This window comes from Homo sapiens, chromosome 6 (assembly GCF_000001405.40).
Source record: "Homo sapiens chromosome 6, GRCh38.p14 Primary Assembly".
NCBI classification, from domain to species: domain Eukaryota; kingdom Metazoa; phylum Chordata; class Mammalia; order Primates; family Hominidae; genus Homo; species Homo sapiens.
Genome location: NC_000006.12, coordinates 7,041,565 through 7,063,340, shown reverse-complemented (window position 1 = coordinate 7,063,340; position 21,776 = coordinate 7,041,565). Strand labels below are relative to the sequence as shown.

At 44.3% G+C, this 21,776-nt stretch overlaps 4 annotated features.

The window, feature by feature from the left end:
• Positions 11,103–11,552: a silencer, noted in NCBI's record as "silent region_16880". NCBI's record gives its function as "represses an Ori minimal core promoter by ATAC-STARR-seq in GM12878 lymphoblastoid cells {active_cell/tissue: GM12878}" and the evidence as "EXISTENCE:reporter gene assay evidence [ECO:0000049][PMID:35858748]".
• Positions 11,534–12,035: an enhancer, noted in NCBI's record as "H3K27ac hESC enhancer chr6:7051539-7052040 (GRCh37/hg19 assembly coordinates)". NCBI's record gives its function as "activates a minimal SCP1, AML or CMV promoter by ChIP-STARR-seq in naive H9 embryonic stem cells {active_cell/tissue: H9 hESC(naive)}" and the evidence as "EXISTENCE:reporter gene assay evidence [ECO:0000049][PMID:30033119]".
• Positions 11,583–11,702: a silencer, noted in NCBI's record as "silent region_16879". NCBI's record gives its function as "represses an Ori minimal core promoter by ATAC-STARR-seq in GM12878 lymphoblastoid cells {active_cell/tissue: GM12878}" and the evidence as "EXISTENCE:reporter gene assay evidence [ECO:0000049][PMID:35858748]".
• Positions 19,987–20,875: an enhancer, noted in NCBI's record as "H3K27ac-H3K4me1 hESC enhancer chr6:7042699-7043587 (GRCh37/hg19 assembly coordinates)". NCBI's record gives its function as "activates a minimal SCP1, AML or CMV promoter by ChIP-STARR-seq in primed H9 embryonic stem cells {active_cell/tissue: H9 hESC(primed)}" and the evidence as "EXISTENCE:reporter gene assay evidence [ECO:0000049][PMID:30033119]".

The following is a 21,776-nucleotide window of genomic DNA, read 5'->3' as shown; positions in this document are numbered from 1 at the left end:
TTACAACGGCAAATGTTGTTATATATATTTCGCCACAATAAAATAGTTTTTTAGAAAGGACAAAGTAAAAATACAAATAGAGGTTATAATATTTTCTTCTCACACTCCAGTGGGTCACCCTGCATGCTATGGGGCAAGGAGATGAGAAGTTTCCAAAGCCAAACCCAAAATTAATGAATCGGATGTGGGGTAGAGGGAATACTGCAGAAGATAAAAATGTCTGAGGCTTGGTAATGCCTAAAACTGAAAAAGAATCTTATTTTTAGGTCTAAAGGAAGGAGGACGCTTTTCTGTAACCTTTCCGCAGAGCTAAATACAGACCATCTGGAAGGTCTCAGCATCCCTCACACCACAGACCCAGAGACCTGAGCCACCTGAATCGCTGCACAAACACCAGGAGAGCCCTCAGCACTCCTAGTCCCAAGCACTCGTTATTAGCACACTTGCTCCCTCACTGCAAGGGCCCAGGTAGTGCCTTACAAAACATACCGTGCGCTTTTTCAGTCGCTTTATGGTCTCAGGTAAGACCCAAGTCCAACTTAAAATACTCCTTTTCAAAGCTGTTTTCAAAGTCATTTTCATCACTTTTCCCTCCTCTGGCTCAAGAGCATCAATCATGGTGAAAAGTGACAGGAAATAATAAAAAGATTAACAGCTCAACATCAAGAAGGACCTACACTGCCCGTGCTGAAAGTGTCAAATATGAGGCTGGCTGAGGACCAAGGTAATCAAAAGTAGAATAGACATGAGTTTGAGGGCTACGCTGACATTTCAGGAGGCAGAAAGTCCTGTTAAACACAGCCATGACAAAGCAAAGGGCCGCCACTGTAGAACAATGTATTTCTGTACCAGCATGCAATACTTAAATTTCCTGTTTGTGATCACAGAATTTCACTGTAAAAATAGGCTTCCACAGATTGATAAATATTTTGATTTTAAATGAGAGCATTTTTCAATTAAAATGTAAGATCTCAGCTTTATAATAAAAGTTAAAATTAAGATATGCTGGACTCTCAGAGCCATCTCAACTTGTCTTTTCTATATAGATTTGTGATGCAGAAATATGAATCAGCTGCCCCTTTCCTTCAGCAATTCCACTGAAACTCGTGACTATACTGCACTGGGAAGGACAAACATATTCTAGAACTGCAATATAAAATAGTTGATTCATACCTTTCAAATTGCTAGAGTGACTGTACCTTATTTTTTAAACAACTTTTTTAAAAAAATTGAGATGTGGTCTCACTGTGTTGACCAGGCTGGTCTCGAACTCCTGGCCTCAAGTGATCCTTCCATTTCGGCCTCCAAAAGTGCTGGGATTATAGGCGTAAGCCTTCATGCCCGGCCTTATTAAAAATAACTATGACTTCCAAATCAAGCCTTTAGAGAGAACTCTCATTTGAAATACCGTATGTCTATGCTATTGTAGTACAAAGTATTCACATATCTGTGTAAAGACTGCTTGTAAACAGATTCCAGTAAGTTTTATGGAATGGAGTGGGAGGCAAGGTTGTGAATATGTAGGTATCATACAGCATAAACAATCTCCTGAGTTCTTAACAAAGCTCTAGATTGCCTATGCTGGGTATGGTTCTACCATTGAGAACTCTTCCACTAATTCAGTCCTATCACAAAAACTTGGTTTTTAAAAGATGAGCCCTCCAAATACAGAGAAATGTGCATCATGAATATTCTTGTTTAAAAGTGTTCCATTTTAGGCCGGGCACGGTGGCTCACACCTGTAATCCAAGCAGCACTTTGGGAGGCCGAGATGGGCAGATCATTTGAGGTCAGGGGTTCAGGACCAACCCGGCCAACATAGGGAAACCCACGTCTCTACTAAAAATACAAAAATTAGCTGGGTGTGGTGGTGCATGCCTGTAGTTCCAGGTACTCAGGAGGCTGAGGCAGGAGAATTGCGTGAACCCAGAAGGCAGACATTGCAGTGAGCCGAGATCGCGCCACTGCACCCCAGCCTGGGTGACAGAGCAAGGCTCCGTCTCAAAAATAAATAAATAAATAAATAAATAAATAAATAAATAAAAGTGTTCCCTTTTAGTTCCAACACTGATATTGCTTCAAAACTCTTCTCTCAAGGCCTTCCAGCATGCTATATTTAAAAAGTTGCCAAACTGGTTTTAACACATCTTTTCAAGACTGATAAGCAAAAGTTTACTGAAGCAGTTTTGGATAAGAGAAACTCAGAATTATTCTATAAGTTTCCTCAAATCTAGCAGCACTTTTTAAATGGAGGGTTGCTAAATAAGCTATAAATTCCCAAAGCCATGAGACATATACATAGGGAAGGCATTTCTCCTTTGGTAAAACACAAACCATACCTTCTTTGGAACTGTAGCTCACATCCTGTTGGACTGACTGCCTTCAAACCTGTTTTGTAGGTATTATGAACAACTGAGTGCAAACAGTAAGTGGTTGTGAAAATAAATTTTCTAATGTGAAAAAAAAAAAAAGAATGAACTGTTAATACAGTTTGGGTTGACTAAGAACTTCAGCAAATGGCAATAATGTTTCCAATCTTTCTTGTGAATCTTAAGTAAGATTTATTCAACTTTCAAAATTCTTTCATTTAACGATGTGGTCATTTACCTGATAACAGATGTAAAGATCCCTGCCCATGTGGATTTTTTTGGCCACTGATATCCATATTTTCGTATATAATAATAAGCTGTCTTTCACTAGGAAAACAATGGCAAATATCACCTACTTTCAGTGTCTGTCAAGAGAATATTTTCATACAGTATAGAAAAACAAAGTGGAAACTCTAGGAAATTGTGTAAATTAAAATCTGTAAATTCACAGTTGACTGGATGTCTCCTCTCATTGTATACTCACAGGTTCAAGAAAACTTGAACATCTGTATCAAGATGCTAGCACTAGGCTGGACCTGGTGGCTCACACCTGTAATCCCAGCACTTTGGGAGGCTGAGGCAGTTGAATCCTTTGAGGTCAGGTGTCTGAGACCAGTTTGGCCAACATGGTGAAACCCCATCTCTACTAAAAGTACAAAAATTAGCTGGGCATGGTGGCGGGCACCTGTAGTCCCAGCTACTCAGGTGGCTGAGGCAGGAGAATTGCTTGAACCTGGGAGGTGGAGGTTGCAGTGAGCCGAGATCACGCCACTGCACTCTAGCCTGGGCGACACAGCAAGACTCTGTCTCAAAAACAAACAACAACAAAACAAGATGCTAGCACTACTTCTGGCTTTTTTTTTTTTAAGACCTTGGCCTCCCAAAGTGCTGGCATTACAGGTGTGAGCCACCGCACCCAGTCTTTTTTTTTCGAGACGGAGTCTTGCTCTGTCACCCAGGCTGGAGTGCAGTGGTGCAATCTCAGCTCACTGCAACCTCCACTTACCGGGTTCAAGTGATTATCCTGCCTCAGCCTCCCCAGTAGCTGGGGTTACAGGTACACACCACCACTCCCGACTCATTTTTGTGTTTTTAGTAGAGATGGGTTTTCACCATGTTGGGCAGGCAGGTCTCGAACTCCTGACCTCGTCATCTGCCAGCCTTGGCCTCCCAAAGTGCTGGGATTACAGGCATGAGCCACTGCACCTGGCCTATTTCTGGCTTCTTAAAGCCATCTCAAGCACCAGATTGTCTTTTTCCTCTGTACTGATTAAAATTAGTTACTGTGAAAGGACAGACTCAGGCAAGCCTGTCCTACAAGAAAAACATTCTATGTGCCTTCTCTTAGGATAGAATACAAATGCTGTGTTTGCACATAAAACTATTTTCTTTCATGTATAGTTTTTTTTTAATAACTCTGGGTTTCATTTTCTGACATTTTTAGAATACTTCCTTATATTCTAAATGGATTTTTAAAAACCTAGATTCTCCCGCACAACAATGTGAATACACTTAACACTACTGAACTGTGTGCTTAAAAATGGTTCAGATGGTAAATTATTTTATTTTATTTTATTTTTTGAGATGGAGTCACGCTCTGTCGCCCAGGCTGGAGTACAGTGGCATGATCTTGTCTCACTGTGACCTCTGCTTCCCGGCTTCAAGCCATAATAATAAATTTTACATGTATACTTTCCCACAATTAAAAAAACCCCACTAGACTCTATCAACTTCCACTGTTTATTGGGTAGGGGTGGAGCAATAACAAAATGACCCACCCTTGGCTTCAACAGTTAGAGACTTAGAAAAATGGACAGCTTGAATTCTGTGTATGTGATGCTGGAGTCGGGTATGGGGTGTGGGGTGTGGTGTGATCCTACCCCTCAAACCCTCCACCATCAATTTTAAACATTCATTTCCGCCTGCTCATTCACCAGGCATGTAATAATATAGACAGGTGAATTCGTCTCTTTACAGCTTATAAACCAAATGGGAAAATGAAGAGCAAATGATAATTGTAGGCAGATCATCAGCATCAAACTAATTCAAAGCTGGCTGTGACAACGTGTGTAACTGCTGCTCCACAGGACAGACATTTGTCTTCTGACAATAAAGAAAGAAACATATACCTAGAGAGCCAGGTATTCCTTGAGAAAGGTGTTCATACTCATCACCTTTTAGAAATCCCCCTCCAAGTTTCTGACAATCCATCTATCTCTAAACTAGAAACATTTGTGGGTTTGGAGCCTGCAGCCTGCCTGGCCTTACCTCTGACTACTCAGCTCCCTTGAAGAGGATCAGCCAGCCTACTCCTGAGAGTACTGCCAAATACCACACCCTGGGTCTGTGTATCCAAAGGTACAGGAAGTGGTCTGTCCAATGCCTGGGTGATTGCATCATTCCAACAAGCTTCAATGTACAAAGTTTGAGTCACTCTCCACTCTCCACATAGCTCTTCAACCCAAATCTCCTTCCAGCCTAGCAGCAGGGCAGAGGACTTCTGACACATCCCTCCACTCTTTCAGACCAGTGCTAAATTTGGAAAGCAGCAGGTCATCTGGATAAAAACAACTTTGAGCACCACTATCAATGACCGTCCATCATATACAAAAGCAAAAGGACAGGTTGAAACGAACTCATAAAAAGTTTGAGCTCTTTCTCTCCCTGGGAGAGACATAGGAGGTCTCACGGGAAGGTCTCAGGCTCTACAACAAACTAGCTAAGAAACTGGTTCCCCAAAATGATCCATACCGGAGTGACCTGTAAAGCTTATTAAAAATACAGACTGGCTGGGCACGGTGGCTCATGCCCATAATCCTGGCACTTTGGGAGGCCCAGGCGGGTGGATCACTTGAGGTCAAGAGACGGAGACCAGCCTGGCCAACGTGGCGAAACCTTGTCTCTACTAAATATACAAAACTTAGCTGGGCATGGTGGCACGCGCCTGTAGTCCCAGCTACTCGGGAGGCTGAGGCAGGAGAATCACTTGAACCCAGGAGGTGGAGGTTGCAGTGAGCCGAGATCGCGCCACTGCACTCCAGTCTGGTGATAGAGCGAGACTCTGTCTCAAAAAAAAAAAAAAAAAAAAAATGGACTGCTGGCCCAGGAGATTCTGGTGCAACAACTATGTGGTGCGGCCTCTTAATCTGATGAGGCAGGTTAGGGAGCCGCTGGGTTAAAGCACTTGGTTGGAACAGTGCTGAGTCAGCGTATCGGTTCTAACTAAAGCCAAGGAATGACTAACTTACACTCTATGAGGAAGGAGGACAATCTGCAAAATTACATATATATGTAATTTTATTAATACATTTACATTTATTAATGTTAATTTATATATAAATATATATTAAAAAATTTTTTTTGACAGAGTCTCATTCTGTCACCCAGGTCTGGTCTCGAACTCGTGGCCTCAACTGATCCATCCGCCTCAGTCTCCCAAAGTGCTGGGATTACAAGCATATCACTGCTCCCGGCCTGCAAAATTATATTTTGAGGCAAGTTCTAATTGTGAATGTTCCCTAAAACTAGTCCTTTGCCACCAAATTCAAATTTAGGTGCTCATTCACACGTGTGAATGATAATCACCTCTATATAGATGACTCACAGCTCTAGTTTCAGCCCTGACCCATCGATTGCCCCTAACTCACCTAAACCCAGCTACCCCTCCTAGCCTTAAATGCAAATCAACCCTTCAACCTACCTTGAACACTGGCTTCCTGTTCTCATTTCTGTTGATAGTCCCACCTCTCAAGGTCTCTCTGGATTTAAATCCTCTGTCATCTTGGACTCTTCAATCTCCTGCCTTCCACATCTAAACACTATAAAATGATGACAATTTTTCTTTCATAACAACTCACAAAGCATTGTGTTCCAAGCAATTCCCATTGATACTATCCTTGTCCAGGTCCCCTTGGTTCCCTGCAATAGCCATTCATGGCCCCTAAACTCCCACTCCAATCGGACCTATAAGATTAACTTTCCCCAAATCCAACTTTGACCATGTATTTCCCCTGCTCAAAATCCTTTCATAATTCCCTATTACCTGCATATAAGGGCCTAACACTATAATCTATCATTAAATGACAGATTTCATACATGATCCATCTCTTCTAGCAAAGCTGACCTATTCAAATTCCCCAAAGGTGTCGTGCAAATTGCTGCCTCTTGGCTTATCTCACTAGGCTTATGCCACTAGGAATGCCTCTCTCTCACTAGGTATAAAATCATGTACAGCCTTTAAGGCCTAAGTTCAAGTCCTACCATCTCCCTTTGAAGCACTTCCTGATGGCTGCCACCTAACAGCCACCCTCCCAGAACACACCCAGCACCCCGCAACATCTGAACCTTTCTTCCTTCCCCTCTCCCTTCCCTCGTTCCCTCTGCGTTCTACTTTTGACAAAGCTAAACTTGGTTCCTAGTACTCCACACAGTCCTCTTGGCCCAGCCTGCTTTGCTCTCTGGCCTTTCTGGAAGTTCCTGGGCACTTTTTGTCTGACACTTCATTGACAGTCACTCATACAGTGGCTTCCCGGCAATGTTTCCTCAAAAAGAGCAAATCTCTTATACAGAAGCAGTACAGGTTTATTACCAACATTTTAGAGAATAAATAGAAGAAGAAAAAACTTTAAAAAAACTCTTATTATTCCACTTCTCAACTCATGGAAACTTTCTTTTTTTTTTTGAGACAGAGTCTCGCTCTTTCGCCCAGGCTGGAGCGCAGTGGCACTAGCTTGGCTCACTGCAAGCTCCGCCTCCTGGGTTCATGCCATTCTCCTGCCTCAGCCTCCCCAGTAGCTGAGACTACAGGTGCCCGCCACCGTGCCCGGCTAATTTTTTGTATTTTTAGTAGAGACGGGGTTTCACCGTGTTAGCCAGGATGGTCTCGATCTCCTGACCTCGTGATCCGCCCGCCTTGGCCTCCCAAAGTGCTGGGATTACATGCGTGAGCCACCGCGCCTGGCCAACTCATGGAAACTTTCGTAAGTGAATCCATCATCTCTTTTTATGCACATTTTTTTTCACTTTTTTTTTTCTTGAGGCAGGGTCTGGCTCTGTTGCCCAGGCTGCAGTGCAGTGGTGCAATCTCCGCTCACTGCAACCTCCGCCTCCCAGGTTCAAGTGATCCTCCTGTCTCAGCCTCCAGAGTATCTGGGATTACAGGCTTGCGCCACCACCCTGGGCTAATTTTTGTATTTTTAGTAGAGAGACAAGGTTTCACCATGTTGGCCAGGCTGGTCTCCAACTCCTGAGCTCAAGTGATCCACCCACCTCAACCTCCCAGAGTGCTGGGATTATAGGCGTGAGCCACTGTGCCTGGCCTTACTGGTGTTTTTATTTAACTCTTCAACAGTTAAACTTCTTGGCCGGGTGCGGTGGCTCACGCCTGTCATCCCAGCACTTTGGAAGGCTGAGACAGGCGAATCACTTGAGGTCGGGAGTTCGAGACTAGCCTGACCAACATGGAGAAACCCCGTCTCTAATAAAAATACAAAATAAGCCAGGCATGGTGGCGCATGCCTATAATCCCAGCTGCTCAGGAGGCTGAGGCAGGAGAATTGCTTGAATCTGGGAGGCGGAGGTTGCAGTGAGCTGAGATCACACCACTGCACTCCAGCCTGGGCAACAAGAGCAAAACTCTATCTCAAAAAAAAAAAAAAAAAAAAAAAAAAGCCACTGCACTCCAGCCTGGACAACCTTGTGAGACCCTGTCTCTAAAAAAATATTTAAAACAGTTAAACTTCTTATATTTGTCATCTAGCTGTTGAACCCTTTGACTCTTAAAAGAACATGCATATACTTACTTCTCTGTAACTCTCAAAGTGTTAAACATAGATCTGCACAAGAATAGGTGGCTCAGATGTTTAAAACATTCATTCAAAAAATATTTTGAGGGTGTCAGTGAGTAAATGGTTCCAAGCGCATTGCCCACGGTAATCTATGTGAAAACCTGCTATACGTAGATGATTTCTTGAAAAGTGCCCCAAAATGTATATATCAAACGTTCTAAATATACAGGAACACTTCACAATATGAAGAACCCTATTGGTAATCTTTTCTTAACAGATACTCATTCTTTAATTTGCTTTATTAATCTGATTTACAGCTAAAATGCAGATCACCCTAGATATAAATGTTTCATGAATTCAGAGATGAAATATGGGGGTAGGCAGAAAGGATGAGAGGAAAAAGGAAGTTTGCCACTTCATTTTACTTAAATTTTCAATGTATTTCTATAGCAACAATTCTGGTTTGAACCAAAATTTTAAAGTCTAATTATCTTACATAGAAGGAAATCCTGCTCCTTAACAGGGTGACAAAATCTAAGATCATGAATGTGTTCAAGTTCCAAGAAAACTTTTGTATAACTCTGTTATTTTCATTCAGAATGCAAGACTATTCAAAGTATAGAATTTGTGATCTTTCAACTACAGCTGTTCTGCAGTTTAAGCAAACACCATAAATGAAAATAATGACTTTTGCCAGTTGAACTGGATTCTCTATCCAGAAAATAATGTAGAAAATCCAGGCCAGGTGTGGTGGCTCACTCCTGTAATCCCAGCACTTTGAGAGATTGGGAGAGGAGGATTGCTTGAGCCTGCCCATATGAGTTCGAGACCAAGCTGGGCAACATGGTAAGACCCCATCTCTACAAAATTAAAACAACAGCAACAAAAACTAAAAAAGTCCAGTCTACCTCCTCAAAGAAGGCAATTGTTTTTGTTTTGATTTTTTTTTTAAGACGGAGTCTCGCTCTGTTGCCTCAGCTGGAGTGCGGCGGCGCAATCTCGGCTCACTGCAAGCTCCGCCTCCCAGGTTCAAGGGATTCTCCTGCCTCAGCCTCCCAAGTAGCTGGGACCACAGGCGCATGCCACCACACCCAGCTAATTTTTTTTATTTTTAGTAGAGACAGGGTTTCACCATGTTAGCCAGGATGGTCTTGATCTCCTGACCTCGGGAGCCGCCCGTCTCGGCCTCCCAAAGTGCTGGGATTACAGGCGTGAGCCACTGCGCCCGGCCAATAAGGCCAATTGTTATTATTATTCTCATTCTACTAGTGAGACAACTTCAGCAAGGTTTACCTAGTTACCAATAAATAAGTAAATAAATGTAGACTGGGGATAATTACATCTCCACAAAAGTTTTCACAACAAAATAACCTCTACTTTTATATATTTAGAATATAATTCAATTGATTAGTTTCTGTCTCCTAAGAATATACTATATACTCCTTAAAGTAAAATACATCTCAATGTATGTTTCTTTATTTTAGAGTGCCTTGGATACAGAAATTTACAGCCTAAGTCAGCTTTTCAGATAACCCTTAAGAGGATAACACACCCCTTTTTTTGCTTCTAGATAAAAAGTCCCAGCAGTTGCACATTGCTTCTGGGTTTGCAGCTTCACTGCTCTTTGGGCCTTGGTTCAGCAGCCCTGCCTACACCTTGTGACTAAGGTCCACTGGACAAAACCGGATGCAAAAAAATGGGACAAAAACCAGGTAGGGTGCTCAAGAAGAGTTTGGGCTATACACTCACACAGCTAAATTTCCCTTTGCAGTCTCATCTTTTTTTTTTTTTTTCTTGATTTTGCTTGTCTCGCTAGCATTCAAACCCAAAGCCCATCCCTTTTAAATCTCCATTCCTCCCTTTCCAAATCATCACGTGCCTGGGGTGTGAGATGCCACTGTGCTCATGAGGGAACTGGGCTGCTCTCCTTCTGCTTTGAGGAGGGTCGTTTTTTTTTTTTCTTCTTCTTTTAATAAAGGCCTTTTCACGTTTGTTTCTCAGGCCTTCCTCAAATACAAAACTGTCACTGTCCCCTGCTCCTTCCAACTCTAGGATATCAGCTTCAAACCTTTGTATGAACTAAGTGGTGAGTAGTAAAACTTTGGTAAATGTATGGCAGCCCGGGCGTGCATTTGGAAGACAAACCCTAACGCAAAAACGTTTAGTTCGTATTCTCTGAAATAGTAAAAAAACAAACACAGAGCAAAACTCCACCTCCTCCCCAGCTTTCCTTTCACGTCTTGGTTCGGTAATAAGAAAAGTTAATCCACCCCCTAGTGCAACTGCAGCCTCTTTCTCGGCCAGGCTCACCTAGAACACTCACTGCATCATTGCATCCAAGCCAAACTCGGTTACTGAGGCAACCAAGTTTTCCTTCCCAAAGGGTCACAGGGAAACACATCCCTCGGGATCCCCTGGTAACCGTCCACCGATAATGCTGGGGAACCACAACAGCAAATGACTCGCTTTCCAAGGCTGGAGCTGGCCGCCTCGGTCGGCCACAGCGGGGGTGTGCGTGGGGGGTATGCAGCATCCAGTTACATTCCTGACCCACTTTCGCGTCCCCTCCCTCCCCCTCCTCTTCCTCCTCCTCCCAGACAGGCCGCGAGGGCGCCAGCGCTCCGAGGAGCCATCCGCGAGCACTCCCCAGACAGCTGCCGGCTGGGTGCACCCGGCGTCGGGCACTACGGGGGGGACGCCGAGGGAGCCTGCCCCCGCCCCCACCCCCACCCCCGGCTTCCCTGCGCGCTCCCTCCTCGGTCACATGGACCCGCGAGCACCTGTTGGCAACCTCAGCCCCAAGCCGAGCCCCCCGCCGCCCCCTCTCCACCCTCACAGCAAAATTCCTTGCGGGAGGGAATGGGAAGACCGCCCAGTTCCCGTTCTGCAAACCCCGCTTTGCTAGGAGGGCGCAGGGGCCGGCGGGCGACGCCTGCACAGCTGCTCAGCTTAGGAAAGTGCAAAAGCGCCGCAGGCAAGCGGCGACTCGGTAGAGGGGATCCTAACCACCCCCTCCACGCATCACCCGCCTCCCCCGAGGCGGAGCGGGGAGATGGGGTGCGCCCGCCCCCAGCCCAACTCCGCTGGAAACCTGGGCTCCTCGCGGGCGCAGGGTGGGGATGCTGTGGAGTCCCGGCCGGGGCCGCAGGGGCGAGGGCAGGTAGCGGGTGGTGACGGGTGGGTGTGCGTTCCGGGTAGCCCAGTGCAGGAAGGGGGAGGGAAGCTGCCGTCGCAGCTGCAACTTCTGAGCGTGCAGAGCAACTCAGCAACTTTGCCTGCCCGGCGCGCCCCTCCCCCGCGCCACCGGGCCGGGCCGGGGGCTGCGCGGCGCCTTGCGGGCAGACTGGAGGTGCGGCCCAGTGGGGAAGGGACTGGGCTGGGGCTGCGGAAGTGGCACAGCCTCTCGGGGGACAGGAGTTGGGGGGCGCACCCACGCGCCCCGAGGCTTGAAAAATACGCCCGGGCCCCGCGCCGCGCACGCACCCCGCAGCCCCACACCAGCCAGGCCCTCGACTGCCGCTGGGCTCCGCGCGAGGAAGGGGGCGGAAGGATGGCGGCGGAACCATGGAAACTGTGCTCGGTGGATAAATAAGGAGAGGGCCGCGCTAGGCCGTCCCGGGCTGCCAGCATCTCGGAAGGCGGATGCAGCGCCCGGGGGAAGCGCGGCCCAGTTCGCACAAGTTGTTCTTCCCGAGCCGCCGCAGGGCTGCTGCCCTACCGCCCGGCTCCGCGCCGCAGCCGCCCTCGGGGGACGCCGCCTGGAGAGGCAGGCCCCAGCCTGGAAGGAGGCCGCCGGCGGGGGCTACGAGGTGTGGGGCAGAGGAGAGTGTGAAGGTGACCCCGGGGTCATCAGGTGTTTGTTCCGGGTCTTAAGGACCGCGCAAAGCCCTGCCGGTCTCGCTAGTCCCAGGTGCGCGTCCCGGAAGGTGAATTCATGTAGTTCAGACATTCTGAAGCTTCAGTGGGGCTAAATCCAGAAGTACAGGGAACCTGGGACGGCCTGGGATGGTACCCCATGTCCCCGAAGTTCTGCCCACACCCCTTCAGGGCGGCTCCCGGGAGTCGGATTGGCAACAGGGAAGCAGGATGTAAACTGGGAGGCTCTGGCCAGGCCCGGGCGCTCAACCGCACCCATTCCCTGCAAGCAAACTTAGCCTCCAACCTTCCTCCCCAGAGCTCTTCATCTGACTCACTGCCGAGTTACTGATGCTCTCCGGCCAAGCCTATTGCCTGTAAAGCTAGAGATTTCAATGGTGGTGTTATGAAGTTGAGTCACTTCAGGGTGTGGGGATCTTCAGACGCAAAGGGGTTATTTCAAGCGAAAGTAAACTACCTGCGCGGAGAAGCCTGGCAACCAGCTGAACGATTTAATTACATGCCATCTTAATTTAAAGAGATTTGCATGTTCATGAGGCCAGCTGGACAGTTACATTGTGATGTGTACCTGGAAATTACTTTTTAACTGGATAAGGTCAATTTATTTCACACCACGAACGGGTGAACAGTATTTCTCTTTTTTTGGATTCAACATTTTTGGTTCTTTTACTTCTTTTTCTCTTTTCTCTAATCCCACGACATTATTTTCTTTTACTTCTTAATGAAAAAAAAAATAACCTTCTACCCTTTTCCTCTGAAATAATTATGAAAGTCTAGGCTAGAGCGTAGTTTTCCAGAATACCATTCCAAAGAACTAAATCTTCAATATGGCCTTAAGTTATATTTGAAAAAAGGGCTCTGTGGTCATATATCACAACACATTTATTCCCAGATATACACAGTTTTGAATGTTAACATCTCTGATGTCTTCTATTTGGTGCCATCTTAGCATTGGGTCATAGTTTAATTGGCTATGATTTTCTTTCTTAGTGGTCCATAAAATAAGGAAGTTTGAGAAATGCTGAGTTAAGCAAGTTAAATCAAGTATATTTGTTACACAAGAAATAAATACAGCAGTGTAAGGCCTTTCAGAATCTTTGATGTGCTAAGGTGTTTGTGAATCACCACGAAGAGTTTATAATATGAAAACTTTCCTAAGTATGTTTGTTCAGTCACCGTTTTTGTTTTTTGTTTTTTGGTTTTTTTTGGTGAGGATTTTGCCCAGGGCTAGTGTTCCTTCTGGGTACTGCTGCTCTGCTGCTCTAGGAATTGTGCCAGATTTGAACAGGGTTGAGAGAAGTGTTCACGTTTCAAAATGGTGTCATTAGGAATCATCAACTGATAAACTAAATTTTAGTATAATTACCAAAAAGAGAAAGACCATTTGAGGAAACATTCAGAGGCAGACCTGTTCACATTTGGCTGTAGTGGAAACTGAATCAGGACCATCTTTAGAGAACTGGTTCCAGTGAACATTTAGTATGTCGGAAAATTCATGCATCTGATATATCTAATCCATGTTACACTACCTCCTGCATTATTTTAATTTGTAGGAGTCAATAAAAATGTCTTATTTAAAGTAGACTGGCACTAAGCCACTCCCCAATTACTTACAAAAAGTCCCCCAAAACATTGTTATAGAAAAATAAGAAAGGGTGGTGAGCACATGAAAGTGTACTCTAGGCTGGGCGCGGTGGCTCATGCCTGTAATCCCAGCACTTTGGGAGGCCAAAGCGGGAGGATCACCTGAGGTCAGGAGTTGGAGACCAGCGTGACCAGCGTGGAGAAACCCCATCTCTACTAAAAATACAAAAAATTAGCTGGCCGTGATGGCGCATGCCTGTAATCCCAGCTACTCGGGGGGCTGAGGCAGGAGAATCGTTTGAACCTGGGAGGTGGAGGTTGCGGTGAGCCAAAATCCCACCATTGCACTCCAACCTGGGCAATAAGAGTGAAACTCCATCTCAAAAAAAAAAAAAAAGAGCAGGAGGCATGTACAATTTTCCAAAGACAAATGAAATTGGAGATAGAAGGCCAGATGTGATGGTTCACACATGTAACCCCAGCCTTTTGGGAGGCCAAAGCAGGAGGATCTCTTGAGGTCAGGATGAGACCAGCCTGGGGCAACAACGAAAAAATCCATCTCTACAAAAAACTTAAAACAAAAAATTAGCTGAGCATGTTGTCATGTGCCTGTGGTCCCAGCTACTCAGGAGGCTGAGGTGGGAGGATTGCTTAAGCCCAGAAGTTTGAAGCTGCAGTGAGCTGTGATTGCACCACTGCGCTCCAGCCTGAGTGACAGAGTGAGACCTTGTCTCTGGAAAAAAAAAAAAAAAAAAATTGAGCATAGGAAAGAAAAATCTACCTCACTAATCCCTTACTAAAGGTAAGAAGTAAAGCAGAGATTTTTATAAGCAAATAAAATATCCTACTTAGAATGTTTAAAATACAAATATAAAATGTGAATTTATGTGCATTAGCTCATTTCACGGTACAGTAATCCTGTAAGGTAGATGGAGCCACCATTCTTACCCTCAGATTGCATACCCTCCCATTCATTTATGTAACAAGCACTTATTGAGAACCTACCAGGCTCCAGACAGGACCCTGGACTTTGATGATAGAAAGACAAATATGAGAAAACCCTACTTTCTAGAAACTCACTTTTGATAGGAGAGATGATATGTAAAATAAATAATTGTAATACAGTGTGACATTAGGGCTTAAAAAGGTTAACGACTTACCCAAGGGACCTAGAGTCAGGATTCAACTAGTCTTATGATTTCATAAGACCCACTCTCTTTTACAATAGACATTCTCTCATTTTTGAAAATAACACCATGCCGATACAGCTTTTGACATAGACATAAAACCAAACATGTTGAATCTTAAAAGCCAGAAAGAAATTTAGAAATTACATAGGCTAAGCCACTCTTTTTACAGGCCTGGAAACTGAGACAAAGAAGGGAGATATGCTCAAGGTTATACAGTTATATAACAACCACATGAAGATTAGAATCAAGGATCCCCCGCCCCCAGCTCTGTGCACTTTAAGGCACTGCCCTACCGTAAGAGACAGTGAGAAGAAGTCTTAATAGAGCCTGTTTCCACTGCTGTGCAGTGTTTGGGCCCATCTCAATAAAGGCCTAGAGTGATTGTTGAATCAGTGATAAAATGTCCCATGACTAAGCGCTTATTTAAAGACATATTTCTCAGAGGAACTGTAAGGGGATTTCAGCTATGTGAGTTCCTTAAAAACAGCCACTATCCTTAAAAGTTGAAGATACAATTGATTTTAAAAAGTAAACAAATATGGGATGTTTGGGGAAATTTGAATACTATCTATTAAAGACTATTAAAGAATTATTGTTACTGGTTTGAGTATTAGTGAATTTGTGATCATACTGTTTTTTTCAAAGAGTTCTCATGTCTTAGACATACATCATGAAATATTTGCACCAAAATGATGTGATGTCTGGTATTAAAATAATGCAGCTTTTTTTTTTTGGCGGGTTAGAAAATGAAAAATATAAATGAAATAAGATGCCATGTGCTGAAACTGGGTGGTAGGCATGTGAGAATTCATTATACTATTATCTCTACTTTTATGTATCTTTAAGAATTTCCAAAATAAAAAGAGCTTCTTTTTTGTCTATATGAAAGAAAAATATTTTCCCTTCATTTTAGTTATGCACAGAAAGGGATACGCTCTATTTATTTCAGCCAGCTGACATTCTTCCTATGGAATATTAAGTTAGTCCCAACGCCACATCATCATGGAATCTATAGTATCATTAAGGGCCTCTTTGTGGCTAAGAAGAGTTGGTGCATTTCTGTTTTTATTACAAGATTTATAGAGCTGGTTTATAATACTGTATTCTTAATTGTATGGGTAATATATTTAAAACACATGTGGTAGCTATGGTTCTGCTTCTATTTTGAATGACTTTGGATTTTTTTCTCTTTCTATTCATATAAGGTGTATCTGCATCTGGAAACGATCAAAATCTCACAAAGACAACACAATGAATGTGGTTAATTTAAGGGATAGACACCACTGAGGTTATAAGCAAGATCACTATCATTCAATAAATATTTGATTAGCAAAACTTCTGGTTTTGTAGGGAGCTGAAAAACTGTAACATGGGCTGGATTTCTAAGCACATGGAAATGAAACTAATTGCAAGATGAGACTAACTTCACAGGCTCAGATGCTTAGGGGAAAAATATTTTTATTTCACCTTGCTTAAATTACAGAAAAACACTTTAAGGATGTGTTGAGCATCCCTTCCTGCTTTCACATCATATTTCTGCTCGAAGTCAGTGGTTCCCAGTTGATGGCTAAATACTCCCTCAGGGACACCGAGTTACTGCAAAGGGTCAACAGTGCTTTATGTGCACCCAGCACTTCCTGCAGATGGAATAATAGTACTGACATATAAAGGCACTCTGTCCAAATGTATGTCTTTGTCATTAATTAATAAACCACAAATTCATTTAAAAGCATTTTTACATTCATAAATTTTTACATTATTATTATGTTATGTATCTTTTATTTATGTATTTAGTTTTTTGAAACAGAGCCTCCCTCTGTTACCCAGGCTGGACTGCAGTGGTGTGATCTTGGCTCACTGCAACCCCTGCCTCCCGGGTTCGAGTGATTCTCCTGCCTCAGCTTCCCGAGTAGCTTGGATTACAGGTGCATGCCACCATGCCCAGCTAATTTTTATGTATCTTTTAAATTAATGAATACTAAAGTAAAGCTATTGTCTTATATATGTGGTGGGGGTCAAAAAAGGAGAACCAACTCTGAAGAGAGAGAAAATCAATTTAGTAAAGCAGACATTCTCTTTCTCTCTCTCTCTTTCTCTCTCTATCCTTATTTTATGTAACATAATTTTTTGATTGATTTTATGGGATATAACGGTGTTGGGGATAACTCTATGCTCTCATCACATTTGTTTTATCATTTGGCTATCAAAACTGGAAACTCCAAACATCTCTTCTTTGCAACTTCTTTATTACCTAACCTACTTTGGTGCCCAAAGCCAAGAAAAGGTTTTACAATCCATGCACACTACCAGACCTGAAATACTGAAGATCTACGTCTCTGCTGGAATTTTTTATGGTCATGAAAACAAAATTGAGTGGTACTTGTCAGAAACACAAATGGTGTTCATAGTGACACAGAAGGTTTTATTACTAAGTATATTTTTACTCTGAATATCTCTACTTGCCCTGTATAATTTTCCCTTCAGCAGGGTATCTTTTTTTTTTTTTTTTTTTTTTTAAGGGTCTTTAGTCTTGGATTATTACAGCAAGCAAACAAGCAGATGGCATCATTGCTGAGCAGGGTTCCAGTGCGAAGGATGATACACTGAGCTCCCAAATCATAATTGAAGGTGGGATTAGTTGGAAGAATCTTGTTTATTAACAAAATCCTCTTCATTTATTTTATTCCCCAATAATAATTTGCCACTTACTAAGCCCTTATTCTGCACCTGGCATTTTATGCTAATCTTCACAACAACCCTAAGAGGCAAAGCTTCTTCTTCCATATTTTACAGATGAGGAATCTACGCTTAACAAGGCTAAGTAATTTAAGGTCATGCAGCCAGTGAGTGACAGAATTAGAATTAGAACCCAAGTCTGTGACTCCAAAGCCCTAACTAGCACAGATGGGGCTTCCTCACCAACTCTTAGATGTCATGCTTTGAACCCCTGGTTATCTTTGCAAAGGCAAGAATTGCTGTAAACTGAGCCCAAATAAGGACAGCTGTCTCCTTAGCATCATTAGTCACTTCTTCCTTCATCACTTCCCAGTGGATAGGAGGTTAGTAAGTGGCTTAACCGCTACCGAGATCATCCGCACACTCCATGCACAGATGGCACAGGGCTAGATGTGACTTAACCTAATTATTCTGCCCTTTCTGGCTCTTACTTCTAGAAATAGTCATCAAAAAAAGGGAGACTTTGAAAGACTTATTTAGGTCTCTCTACCTGAAAGAAGAGAAAATTATTTTGGAGGCAAATGAATTTCTAACTTTCCTGAAAGAAAGGGAGATTTTTTTTTTTTTTATGACTTGTCTGAGGAGAAGTCAATGAAGAGGCTGTTGCACACAATAGCTATTGAGTCACAAATAACACATGCACCCTGGAAGATTCCACTATTTGGCACGTATGGTGGCTAAAAAAGTGGAGAATCTTCTTGGTTTCTCTTCCCACCCAGCCTTTCTTAGGTACTTTGACGAGAAGGCACCTCTCACTTTCTATGAGCTTTGTAGGACCCTGAGCCATATTACCATCAGCTAAAGTCTTTATTTATTTTTAATTCTTGAGACAGAGTCTCGCTCTGTCACCCAGGTTGGAGTGCAGTAGCACAGTCTCGGCTCACTGCAACCTCTGCCTCCCGGTACAAGTGATTCTCTGGACTCAGCCTCCCGAGTAGCTGGGATTACAGGTGCCTGCCACCATGCCTGGCTAATTTTTGTATTTTTAGTAGAGACGGGGTTTCACCATGTTGGCCAGGGTGATCTCGAACTCCTGAGCTCAGGTGATCTGCCCACCTCGGCCTCCCAAAGTGCTGGGATTACAGGCATGAGCCACTGCGCCCGGCCAATAATGAAGTCTTTAACTGGCCATTTTCCTCAGTGTATTTTTTCCTCATCATGTCCACTTCAAGATGGATGAAGAAGCAGCCTCTCTAACCACCCCAACTTTAAATCCAGTAGGATTGTCTGCCAGAAATAAACCCCTCTCTTCAGGAAGACAAAGGCCAGGTGTTTCAGGCTGACAGCTTCTGAGATCTCCCCTACACTACATAAATCGTCACCACTCGCTGGGTAGACAAATAAGAGGAAGCCACTTAAAAAGTTTATCAAAAAGTAGAAAAAGTTATTCAAAAAGTAGAGATGGGGTCTTGTTATGTTGCCCAGGCTGGTCTTGAACTCCTGGCCTCAAGTGATCCTCCTGCTTTGGCCTCCCAAAGTGCTGGGATTACAGGTGTGAGCCACCGTGCCTGCCTGGAAGCCACTTATATTTGAGAGTTGGGAGGAAGGGACGGCTTTCTGGACCCAAGGAAACAGCAAGGCAGCAGGGCAGGGAGCAGGTGCTACTGGCAGGTGGCCGGCACTGCTGCTGGCCTGGAGGGTGAGGGACAGCAGGAAGACGGCAGACTAAGAGGCTGCACGCTTTGTGGAAATAGCTGAAAATAGAACGTGAGGTTAGGCCCTGAGAATTCGACTCCTGCTAATGGCAAAGAGAGAAGCCGAGGTCTTCCGTACGTAAGACCAAGGCAACAAATAGGGCCATTGCACACCCTGGGTCTGGCCTGCCTGCCTAGGATGCCAGCTCTCAGCCCTCACTCGTGGAAAGAGCTCAACTTTTAATTTTTTTATTTTATTAGTATTATTATTTTGAAACGGAGTCTCACTCTGTTGCCAGGCTGGAGTGCGGTGGCGGGATCTCGTTGCAACCTCTGCCTCCCGGGTTCAAGCGATTCTCCTGCCTCAGCCTCCAGAGTAGCTGGGACTACAGGCGCCTGCCACCACGCCCAGTTAATTTTTATATTTTTAGTAGAGACAGGGTTTGGCCATGTTGGCCAGGCTCGTCTCGAACTCCTGACCTCAGGAGATCCACCCGCCTCAGCCTCCCAAAGTGCTGGGATTACAGCATGGTGAGCCACTGTGCCCGGCAACTTTTTAATAATTTGTCTTCTTGCTGAATAACAAAGCTATCTAAGTAAAAAGATGTGTGTGTGTCTCTGTGTGTGTGTGTGTGTGTTTCACCTACTTGGTTGATTGGGGTCACAGTTGCAGTTTACACTGAGCCTCTAAATTTTATTTGGAAGACAAAGCAATATTTCTTTTGCTTCTTTTTTCTTTTTCTTTCTCTGTCCTGCTTTTAGGCAAGAAAGCAATATTTCATATCACAAGTTCAGCTGCTGCTGCTGACAGACAGTTTGCTCTGACTGTTCTTCACCAGACGAGGCAGGTTAAACTCTTGTCAGCCATATGTTGATTTGTTAACACTACCCATGTCCCAGGTAGCAGGCTCAGATGGGTCTCAAAATAGACCAGGCACACATGGCTGATAAGATCCCAGTGGGCAGAAGATAATGTTACACCATCTATGACATAACCTCTAGAATAATCACTGCTGCCCTTTGCTCCAGAGTCCAGCTCCAGTGCATGCAAACGTGGAAAGTCCTCAAACAGTGGGGGGTTTAGTGTGTGTGTGCTTTCCTTGAAATTGGTTAAACTTCCACTCAGCTTTGGAAGCTTCTAATAAGCGGTTCACAGCCTTTTCTTCTCTTTCTTCTCCTTTTTTGCTTCAGTGGGATGGATGGCCAAACAAACTTTCTGGTGGCTGTTAAGAAGAACAAAATTCTTTGCAGAAGCACGTGCCAGTGTTTTACAATGCACAGCACACATCGAGGCCTGCGGCACACACTGGAACACAATCGGATTCTGGAGCTCTAGGGACAAAGAGCACTGCTAATTTGTGCAGCCGCTGCCTTAGAATGGTGAGCAGGGAGGACACTCTAAGGAGAGGGAGTCAGGGCATCAGCGCAAATTGGTTTTCCAGGCGAAGGAAGGGGAAAGCCTCATCTTGGAAGAAATTTCAGTTTCTGTGGACCTGTGGACCTGATGTCGGGTTACCTCGCCCCTCCCCAGCAGGAGCCGAATGCCCGTGCCTTCTCTCCTGGAAAGCTGCCTTTCTAAGCTAGAGAACTGCTGCCACAAACCGATTCTGAGAGGAAGGGAATGTACTCTTCATATTTGTAGAGAAAACCAGGAAGTGAGGAGTCGCAGCCCCGGCTTCCTGGTCGGGCTGCTGACTCACACTGTCATCCTTTAAGCGATTTCCTTCATTTCTTTGCACCTCAGTTTCTCAGTTAAATGAAGGATGAAAATGCAATTCCCCTAGAGACATTGGCAATACCTCATTCATGTTTGCATTTCTTTGCGATAACTGGGATTAGAGATCTGATTACTGCAAAGCAGCATTACATGGAAGATTCCATCTTTATTGTCAACTTGAGGCCTATCTTTGAATGAATATCGTTCAAGGTCTTTTGGTCACCTTTCCCACTATTCATTCCATGCTGCCCCCTCCCCACTCCATCTATTCTTTTCCATGGTGACTTCAAGTGATGTCGTTTGCATGAAGTTTTGTCTCCGAGGAGAGGAGGCTTTAATTTCTCTTGGTTCATTCCAGAACATGGTAGTCCATGGATCACCACAGGCTTGACTGGTTGTGGGAGACAGGATTCAGAGGCCAGGAATGGGATCTCAGTCACAACCTCCATGCTCTTTTAAGGAATTTAGGCTGTCCCTTTGTACTTGATTTTCTTTTTCCTCTTCAAAGTGTCGACCTCTTTGTTTGGCTAGGGTGAATACATCACTTCCTCTTTGGGGTCTGCGTTTTGTCTCCTGCTGGGTTTGAAATGTCATGTAATTTGTTGGGTTTTCACTGGATTATGTTTGGAGTTTGTTTGTCTTTTTTGGTGTTCCCAAATCATCACTGGTCACCAGAACCCTCTCTCTTCTACCTCCTGATTAATGATGAGATAGAAGTGCACGCTCCTCAGCATTTGCCAAGAGAGACACATTCATCTTCAACTGCTCTCTCTGGTCTGTTGCCTATGAAGGGAGTTACCCTGCAAGGGGAAAAACAAAAACAAAAAAAACCCCACAGAGCTGTTATCTTTTCTTCCTGCTGAGCAGTCTGGCTGCTCTGTTGC